This window comes from Homo sapiens, chromosome 15 (assembly GCF_000001405.40).
Source record: "Homo sapiens chromosome 15, GRCh38.p14 Primary Assembly".
NCBI lineage: Eukaryota > Metazoa > Chordata > Mammalia > Primates > Hominidae > Homo > Homo sapiens.
In genome coordinates, this window is record NC_000015.10 from 49,064,601 (window position 1) to 49,075,554 (window position 10,954).

At 40.8% G+C, this 10,954-nt stretch overlaps 1 annotated feature.

Moving 5' to 3' along the window:
* Positions 999-1,499: an enhancer, noted in NCBI's record as "H3K27ac hESC enhancer chr15:49357796-49358296 (GRCh37/hg19 assembly coordinates)". NCBI's record gives its function as "activates a minimal SCP1, AML or CMV promoter by ChIP-STARR-seq in naive H9 embryonic stem cells {active_cell/tissue: H9 hESC(naive)}" and the evidence as "EXISTENCE:reporter gene assay evidence [ECO:0000049][PMID:30033119]".

The following is a 10,954-nucleotide window of genomic DNA, read 5'->3' on the forward strand; positions in this document are numbered from 1 at the left end:
GGACTCAGTTTCAACATCATTAAGAAAATCTCTTTACTGCCGGAGGAAAGTATGTTTTGAGGGAGTATATTCAGAGGGAAAAGATGCAATGCCTTTATATATAAAGTTGCACAACATTAGGTGGTGAAAATTCACTTTCTAGCACTATTAGGAAGTCATTCATTCATTGGACACATACTTAAATATATCAGAAGTTATATATGCTATGAATAAAAATAAAACATGGTAAAGGGATAGAAAATGGAGGGGAGGCTAGTTTAGATAAGGTGGACAGGGATGGCCTTCCTGAAAAAGTAACATTTAAATAGAGCCCTGAAAACAGTAAGGTAGTGAGCCATGAAAACATCTGCGGAAGAGTGATGTTCCAGGTGGAAAGAACAGCAGATGTTATGGCCCTGAGATGGAAATGAGCTTGATGAGTTTGAAGAATAGCAAGAGGGCCAGTCAAGTTAAAATAGACTCAGGAAAAAAGCAGTACTTGTGACGTCACAAAGGTATGCAGAGCCTGATAAGCTATATTTCACAGTTGTGAATGTCTTGTAAATGTGATGAGAAATCGCTGGAGGATTTCAGCAGGAGAATGGCATGATCTGTTTTATGTTTTATAAAGATTACTCTGGCCTCTGATTAAATAATAGACATAAGAGTGCAGGGAGAGAAGCAGGAAAGCAGGGAGAGAAGCAGGAAGGCTGTTAGAGTAGCCAAAGTAAGAGAGGATAGGAACTGTCAGGGTTGGGATATATTTTATAAATAGAAACAAGAGGCTCACTCTGACTTTGTTTCCTTTAATTGGGTCAAGTCTTGTGGCATCTCCTCCACCAAGGTTGCTGTTCACCAGCAAGACCCCATCATTGCACTCATTCACTTGAAAACTAGACAGGTATATTTCTGCATTAGAAAAATATGATGATGCTTTGGGTGTGAGGGAAAGAGAAGATTCAAAGTCACCCCCAGGTTTTTAGCCTGAGCAATAGGTGAACGATGGAGCCATTTACTGAGATTGGAAAAGTTTGGGAGGAAGGTAGTAAATCCAGTGCTCAGTGTTGAACATATTGAGTTTGAGATGGCCTAAACATCCAAGTGGAGAGGCCAAGTAGGCAGTTGTAAAGCAATTCTGAAGCTCGTTGAGAGGTGCTATTTACTAACTGAAACACAAAATAAATTCAGCCCCTGGCGAGGGCACTGCACTCTACCTGGCAGAGCCCTGTTCTCTGTTTCAATTCTACAGGTCAGGGACGGTTAGATGAGATGCCGAGGGATCACCTGGTTTATGGAGTTCACAATCGTATCCTCTGATACTGCCTCTTGAGCAATTAAAATCTGACATTTAGGAAGGGCTCCTTGACAGGCATGGTGGCTTACATTTGTAATCCTAGCAGTTTTGGAGGCTGAGGCGGGTGGATGGCTTGAGACCAAGAGTTTGGAGACCAGCCAGGGTAATGTGGTGAAACCTCATCTCTACAAAAAATACCAAAAAAATTAGCCAGGCATGGTGATGAGCACCTGTAGTCCCAGCTACTTGGGAGGCTGAGGTGGGAGGATCATATGAGCCAAGGAGGTTGAGGCTGCCGTGAGCTGTGTTCATGCCACTGCACTCCAGACTGTGTAGCAGAGTAGGACCCTGTCTCAACAACAACAACAACAAGAAGGGCCTGAACTAGTGAGGCTATGTGCTTCTTAAATATTGTCCCTAACCTAGGCAGAAACTCTGGACAACAGAGGCAGCTGAACACAAGGAACGCATGTTCCATAATATCTGCAGATCAGTTTCAGGCATCTTAACCTTTTTCAGAGGATGTGGCGAGTCACAGAGTTAAAGATAGGGAGTGTTGATTTTGAATGAGGAAAGGCCTACCTTAAAAGAGCATGCTATTCAAATGCTGATGGATGGAAGCCTGGAACTTATGCGGTAGGGTCACATCACCTGACATGATGATCTGGATTCTTGACAGGGCACTGAGATCCAAGAGTTGCATCATACTCAGAAAAATTGAGGATATATGCCTTAGGATACTTTAGAACATATAACTGGATAAGTGAATAAATGAAGCATAGCATGACATTTCAATAATCAATACAGGCTTTGCTCACAATATTTTTTCATGAGATGTTTTGCCAGAATTACCAAATTAGCCAAAACTCCTTTAACATTATAATGCTCACATAGCTGATCTTGCAAGGACTCCTTTGTGAAGAGAGTACCACCTATCCTTTCTAGAGATAACACCTTTTGAGAAGGAACATAGAGACCTGGGTACACAGCATCTGTACCAAGAGAAAGTCTGATTGAAGAAGGTGTCAGTAGATTTCTCATGGTATTTCTCCAGACATTGAAAGCTTATAAGGCTCACTCTGACTCTGACTTTGCCTCCTTTAACCGGGTCAAGTCTGTTTGGCATCTCCTCCACCAAGGTTGCTGTTTACCAGCAAGACCCTGTCATTGCGCTCATTCACTTGAAAACTAGACAGGTATATCTCTGCAATTAGAAAAATATGTAAACGTCTTGCTTATCTTATCAAACAAGGTCTCTTTAAATCAGTTGCATGTACTACCATGAACTGTGTCATTTGTGTCCTTGGCATTATTAACAAGAAGCATAGGCTTTCGATCAGTGAGATTAGAGTTTTGAATTCAGCCTGCCACTTATTGCTCTGGTGGGTAAACTTGGGTTACTGTAAAATTAGAATGATAACAGTACCAACCTCATAATGTTGTTATGAGAATTAATTGAGTTAATACCTTCAGAAAGATTAGTAGAGTATCCAGAATATAGTAAACACAATAAATGTTAGCTATTATTATGACAATGATGAACATTATTCATTTAAAGCCCATTGGAAAAGAGACTGTTGGAACTATAGACCCAATACAAATAAGATACTTAAGCAGACCCTTCATCAAGTTTCTGCAGTCAGTTAACACTATACTATTTGTAATTTTAGAGAATGAAGTTTAGTATAAATCTTGGCCCAGTTCAAGGTTGTCAGTGACTTTTTTTTACTGAGGTGAAATTCACATAACATAATATTAACTTTTTTTTCGAGACAGGGTCTTGCTCTGTCACCCAGGCTGGAGTGCGGTGGCGCAATCATGGTTCACTGCAGCCTCAACCTCCCAGGCTCAAGTGATCCTCCTGCCTCAGCCTCCCAAATAGCTGGGACTACAGGTATTCATCACTGTGCATGCTAATAGAATTAACCATTTTGAAGTGTACAATTCAGTAGCATTTAGCACATTCACAATGTTTTGCAACCATCATCACTATCCAGTTCCTGACCAATTTCATCACCCCTGAGGAAGACCCCCTATCCTTTCAGCAGTCACTCTCCATTCCTGTCTCTCCCAAGCCCCTGGCAACCACCAAACTGCTTTCTGTCTCCATGGATTTACCTATTCTGGATATTTCATGTAAATGGAGTAATACCATATGCAATGTTTCGTTTCTGGCTTCTTTCATGTAGAATGATTTATTATCAAAGATGAAGCTGCAGACTCCCAAAAGAATCTCCATCCCTTCATCTCTGATAGGCTTGGAATTTTCCAGTGCTTCTAATGGAGACTCTGATCTCCAGGATCTCAGATTCTGTCCTCTGTTAATAAAGTACTTGAATCAACAGTGGATGGATTCTTGGGAAAGCTTCAGGCAGTTCTAAATTATTTGAATATATCAAGTATCTGAGACAAATGATGACCTTTAGATCTATAGATCTTGGCAATCATGCAGTTCAACCCTCTCATTTTATAGAGAAGGACTTTGAGGCATAATATTGTTTTCTTTGGCTACTGTAAGACACATACAACCATTGATGCACTTATTTTTAAAAGTTCCTCTTATGAGGTTGTATAATGTTCTAGTGCCTAATGAAAGACACAGTCCCCAACTTCAAGCTGCCTATAGTCCACTGGAGGAAAAAGACAAATGATCAGATATTAAAATGCAATATGGGGAGGTCACTTCCAAGATGGCTGAATAGGAACAGCTCCGATCTACAGCTCCCAGTGAAATCAATGCAGAAGATGGGTGATTTCTGCATTTCCAACTGAGGTACCTGGTTCATCTCATTGGAACTGGCTGGACGGTGGGTGCAGCCCACGGAGGGTGAGCCAAAGCAGGGCGGGACATCACCTCACCCAGGAAGTGCAAGGGGTCGGGGGATTTCCCTTTCCTAGCCAAGGGAAGCCATAAGTGACTGTACCTGGAGAGGCAGTACACTCCTTCCCAAATACTGCACTTTTCCCATGGTCTTCACAACCACCAGACCAGGAGATCCCCTCCTGTGCCTGGCATGGCAGGTCCCATGCCCATGGAGCCTTACTCACTGCTAGCGCAGCAGTCTGAGATCAACCTGGGATATGGGAACTTGGTGGTGGGAGGGGTGTCTACCATTGTTGAGGCTTGAGTAGGTGGCTCTATGCTCACAGTGTAAACAAAGTGGCAGGGAAGCTCAAACTGGGCAGAGCTCACTGCAGATCAGCAAGGCCTACTGCCTCTCTAGATTCCATCTCTGGGAGCAGGGCATATCTGAACAAAAGGCAGCAGACAGCTTCTCCACTTAAACATCCCTGCCTGACAGCTCTGAGGAGAGCAGTCTCCCAGCATGATGTTTGAGCTCCGATAATGGACAGATTGCCTCCTCAAGTGGGTCCCTTACCCCCATGTAGCCTGACAGGGAGACACCTCCCAGTAGGGGTGAACAGACACCTCATACAGGCAGGTGCCCCTCTGGGACAAAGCTTCCAGAGGAAGGGTCAGGCAGCAATATTTGCTGTTCTGCAGCCTCTGCTGGTGATACCCAGGCAAACAGGGTCTGGAGTGGACCTCCAGCAAACTCCAGCAGACCTGCAGCTGTGAGGCCTGTCTGTTAGAAGGAAAACTAACAAACAGAAAGGAATAGCATCAACATCAACAATAAGCACATCCACACCAAAACCCCATTTGTAGGTCACCACCATCAAAGACCAAAGGTAGATAAAATGACAAAGATGGGGAGAAACCAGAGCAGAAAGGCTGAAAATTCCAAAAACCAGAATGTCTCTTCTCCTTCAAAAGAACACAATTCTTTGCCAGCAAGGGAACAAAACTGGATGGAAAATGAGTTTGATAAGTTGACAGAAGTAGGCTTCAGAAGGTCGGAAATAACAAACCTCTGAGCTAAAGGAGCATGTTCTAACCTACTGCAAGGAAGCTAAAAACATTGAAAAAAGGTTAGAGGAATGGCTACCTAGAATAACCAGTGTAGAGAAGAGCTTAAATGACCTGATGGAGCTGAAAGCCACAGTACAAGAACTTTGTGAAGCACATATAAGCTTCAATAGCCGATTCAATCAAGTGGAAGAAAGGATATCAGGGATTGAAGATCAAATTAATGAAATAAAGTGAGAAGACAAGATTAGAGAAAAAAGAGTGAGAACAAACAATCAAAACCACCAAGAAATATGGGACTATGTGAAAACACTTAATCTACATTTGACTGGTGTACCTGAAAGTGATGGGGAGAGTGGAACCAAGTTGGAACACACTCCTCAGGCTATTGTCCAGAACTTCCCCAATGTAGCATGACAGGCTGACATTCAAATTCAGAAAATATAGAGAACACCACAAAGATACTCCTTGAGAAGAGCAACCCCAACACACATAATCTTCAGAGTCACCAAGGTTGAAATGAAGGAAAAAATGTTAAAGGCACCTAGAGAGAAAGGTCGGGTTACCCACAAAGGGAAGCCCATCAAACTAACAGTGGATCTCTCTGCAGACTAACAGTGGATCTCTCTACAAGCAAGAAGAGAGTGGGGGCCAATATTCAACATCCTTAAAGAAAAGAATTTTCAACCCAGAATTTCATATCCAGCCAAACTAAGCTTCATAAGCGAAGGAGAAATAAAATCCTTTACAGACAAGCAAATGCTGAGAGATTTTGTCTCCACCAGGCCTGCCTTATAAGAGCTCCTGAAGGAAGCACTAAACATGGATAGGAAGAACTGGTACCAGCCACTGTAAAAACATGCCAAATTGTAAAGACCATCGACGCTATGAAGAAACTGCATTAATCAATGGGTGAAATAACCAGCTAGCATCATAATGACAGGATCAAATTCACACATAACAATATTAACCCAAAATGTAAACGGGCTAAATGCCCCAATTAAAAGACACAGACTGTCAAAATGGATAAAGAGTCAAGACCCGTCAGTGTCCTGTATTCAGGAGACCCATCTCATGTGCAAAGACACACATAGGCTCAAACTAAAGGGATGGAGGAAGATCTACCAAGGAAATGGAAAACAAAAAAAAGCAGGGGTTGCAATCCTGGTCTCTGATAAAACAGACTTTAAACCAAGAAAGATCAAAAGAGACAAAGAAGGCCATTTCATAATGGTAAAGGAATCAATGCAACAAGAGCTAACTATCCTAAATATATATGCACCCAATAAGGAGCACCCTGATTCATAAAGCAAGTTCTTAGAGATCTACAAAAAGACTTAGACTCCCACAAAATAATAATGGGGGACTTTAATACCCCACTGTCAATATTAGACAGATCAACAAGACAGAAAATTAACAAGGATATTCAGGACTTGAACTCAGCTCTGGACCAAGTGGACCTAATAGACATCTACAGAACTCTCCACCCGAAATCAACAGAATATACATTCTTCTCAGTACCACATTGCACTCATTCAGAAATTGACCACATAATTGGAAGTAAAGCCACTCCTCAGCAAATGTAAAAGAACAGAAATCACAACAAACTGTCTCTCAGACCACAGTGCAATCAAACTAGAACTCAGGATTAAGAAACTCACTCAAAACCGCAGAACTACATGGAAACTGAACAACCTGCTCCTGAATGACTACTGGGTAAATAACGAAATGAAGGCACAAATAAAGACGTTCTTTGAAACCAATGAGAACAAATACACGACGTACCAGAATCTCTGGGACACATTTAAAGTAGTGTGTAGAGGGAAATTTATAGCACTAAATGCCCATAAGAGAAAGCAGGAGAGATCTAAAATCAACACCCTAACATCACAATTAAAAGAACTAGAGCAGCAAGAGCAAACACATTCAAAAGCTAGCAGAAGGCAAGAAATAACTAAGATCAGAGCAGAGCTGAAGGAGATAGAGACACAAAAAACCTTTCAAAAAATCAATGAATCCAGGAGCTGGTTTTTTGAAAAGATCAACAAAATAGATAGACCGCTAGCAAGACTAATAAAGAAGAAAAGAGAGAAGAATTAGATGCAATAAAAAATGATAAAGGGGATATCACCACCGATCCCACAGAAATACAAACTACCATCAGAGAATACTAGAAACACTTCTATGCAAATAAACTAGAAAATCTAGAAGAAATGGAAAAATTCCTGGACACATACACCCTCCCAAGACTAAATCAGGATGAAGTTGAATCTCTGAATAGACCAATAACGGGTTTTGAAATTGAGGGAATAATTAAAGCCTACCAACAAAAAAGGTCCAGGACCAGATGGATTCACAGCTGAATTCTACCAGAGGTACAAAGAGGAGCTGGTACCATTCCTTCTGAAACTATTCCAATCAATAGAAAAAGAGGGAATCCTCCCTAACTCATTTTACGAGGCCAGCATCATTCTGATACCAAAACCTGGCAGAGGCACAACAACAACAAAAAGAAAATTTCAGGCCAATATCCCTGATGAACATTGATGCGAAAATCCTCAATAAAACACTGGTAAGCTGAATCCAGCAGTACATCAAAAAGCTTATCCACCAAGATCAAGTTGGCTTCATCCCTGGGATGCAAGGCTAGTTCAACATATGCAAATCAATAAACGTAATCCATCATATAAACAGAACAAACAACAAAAACCACACGATTATCTCAATAGATGCAGAAGAGGCATTCAACAAAATTCAGCATAAAAACTCTCAATAAACTAGGTATCGATGGAACATATCTCAACATAATAAGAGTTATTTATGACAAACCCACAGCCAATATCATACTGAATGGGCAAAAGCTGGAAGCATTCCCTTTAAAAACCGGCACAAGACAGGGATGCCCTCTCTCACCGCTCTTATTCAACATAGTATTGGAAGTTGTAGCCAGAGCAATCAGGAAAGAGAAAGAAATAAAGGATATTCAAATAGGAAAAGAGGAAGTCAAATTGTCTCTGTTTGCAGATGACATGATTGTATATTTAGAAAACCCCATCGTCTCAGTCCCAAATCTCCTTAAGCTGATAAGCAACTTCAACAAAGTCGCAGGATACAAAATCAATGTGCAAAAATCACAAGCATTCCTATACACCAATAATAGACAAACAGAGAGCCAAATGATGAGTGAACTCCCATTCACAATTGCTACAAAGAGAATAAAATACCTAGGAATAAAAGTTACCAAAGATGTGAAGGACCTCTTCAAGGAGAACTACAAACCACTGCTCAAGGAAATAAGAGAGGACACAAACAAATGGAAAAACATTCCATGCTCATAGACAGGAAGAATCAGTATCATGAAAATGGCCTTACTACCCAAAGTAATTTATAAATTCAAAGCTATCCCTATCAAGCTACCACTGACTTTCTTCAGAGAATTGGAAAAAACTACTTTACACTTCATACGGAACCAAAAAAGAGCCCCCATAGCCAAGACGATTCTGGGCAAGAAGAACAAGGCTGGAGGCATCACGCTACCTGACTTCGAACTTCACTACAAGGCTACAGTAACCAAAACAGCATGGTACTGGTACCAAAACAGATATATAGTCCAATGGAACAGAACGGATGCCTCATAAATAATGCCACACACCTACAACCATCTGATCTTTGACAAACCTGTCACACACAAGCAATGGGGAGAAGATTCCCTATTTAATAAATGGTGTTGCTATTTAATAAATGGCAAGAGAAAGAAATAAAGAGTATTCAAATAGGAAGAGAGGAAGTCAAATTGTCTCTGCAGAGACAGATTGTCTCTGTTTGCAGGCTAGCCATATGCAGAAAACTGAAACTGAACCCCTTCCTTACACCTTACACAAAAATCAACTCAAGATGGATCAAAGACTTAAACGTAAGACCTAGGACCATAAAAATCCTAGAAGGCCGGGCATGGTGGCTCACACCTGTAATCCCAGCACTTTGGGAGGCCAAGGTGGGCAGATTACGAGGTCAAGAGATTGAGACCATCCTGGCTAACATGGTGAAACCCCGTCTCTACTAAAAATACAAAAAAATTAGCTGGGCGTGGTGGTGGGTGCCTGTAGTCCAGCTACTTGGGAGACTGAGGCAGGAGAATGGTGTGAACCCGGGAGGCGGAGCTTGCAGTGAGCAGAGATCGCGCCACTGCACTCCAGCCTGGGTGACAGAGCAAGACTCTGTCTTAAAAAAAAAAAAAAAATCCAAGAAGAAAACCTGGGCAATATCATTCAGGACATAGACATGGGCAAAGACTACATGTGTAAAACAGCAAAAGCAATGGCAACAAAAGCCAAAATAGACAAATGGGTTCTAATTAAACTAAAGAACTGCACAGCGAAAGAAACTATCATCAGAGTGAACAGGCAACCTACAGAATGGGAGAAAATTTTTGCAATCTATTCATCTGACAAAGGGCTAATATCCAGAATCTACAAGGAACTTAAACAAATGTACAAGAAAAAAGCAAACAACCCCATCAAAAAAATTGGCAAAGGATATGAACAGACACTTCTCAAAAGAAAACATTTATGTAGCCAATAGACATAAGAAAAAATGCTCATCATCACTGGTCATTAGAGAAATGCAAATCAAAACCACAATGAGATACCATCTCATGCCAGTTCGAATGGTGATCATTAAAAAGTCAGGAAACAACAGATGCTGGAAAGGTTGTCGAAAAATAGGAACGCTTTTACACTGTTTGTGGGAGTGTAAATTAGTTCAACCATTGTGGAAGACAGTGTGGCAGTTTCTCAAGGATTTAGAACTAGAAATACCATTTGACCCAGCAATCCCATTACTGGGCATATACCCAAAGGATTATAAATCATTCTACGATAAAGACACATGCATACGTATGTTTATTGCAACACTATTCACAATAGCAAAGACTTGGAACCAACCCAAATGTCCATCAATGATAGACTGAATTAAGAAAATGTGGCACATACACACTGTGGAATACTATGCAGCCATAAAAAAGGATGAGTTCATGTCCTTTGCAGGGACATGAATGGAGCTGGAAACCATCATTCTCAGCAAACTATCACAAGATCAGAAAACCAAACACTGCATGTTCTCACTCATAAGTGGGTGTTGAACAATCAGAACACATGGACACAGGGAGGGGAACATCACACATCGGGGCCTGTGGGAGGTGAGGGGGTAGGGGAGGGATAACATTAGGAGAAATACCTAATGTAGGTGATGGGTTGATGGGTGCAGCAAACCACCATGGCATGTGTATACCTATGCAACAAAACTGCACGTTTTGCACATGTAACCGAGAACTATTAAGTATTAATATAATACTTAATTAATATAATTAAGTATTAATATAATAATTAATACTTAAGTATTAATATAATACTTAATTATATTATTAAATATAATAATAATTTTAAAAATGTGATATAATAGGTGCTGTGACTGAATGACGCCAGGGTGCCATGAGAGCACATGTGAAGCTATCCAGCCCCATGGGATGCACTGTAGGGACAGTCTTCATACAGATGGTCCCAACACATGATGGCTCGACTTAAGACTTTTCGATTTTATGATAGCACAAAAGCAATAGGGATTCAGCAGAAATCATCCTTTGAATTTTGAATTTTGACCTTTTCCTTGGCTAGTGATAATCAGTATTATACTCTTACATGGGATATTCAACACTTTATTATAAAATAGGCTTTGTGTTAGATGTTTATGCTCAACTGTAGACTAATGTAAGTGTTCTGAGCACATTTAAGGCAGGCTGGGCTAAACTATGA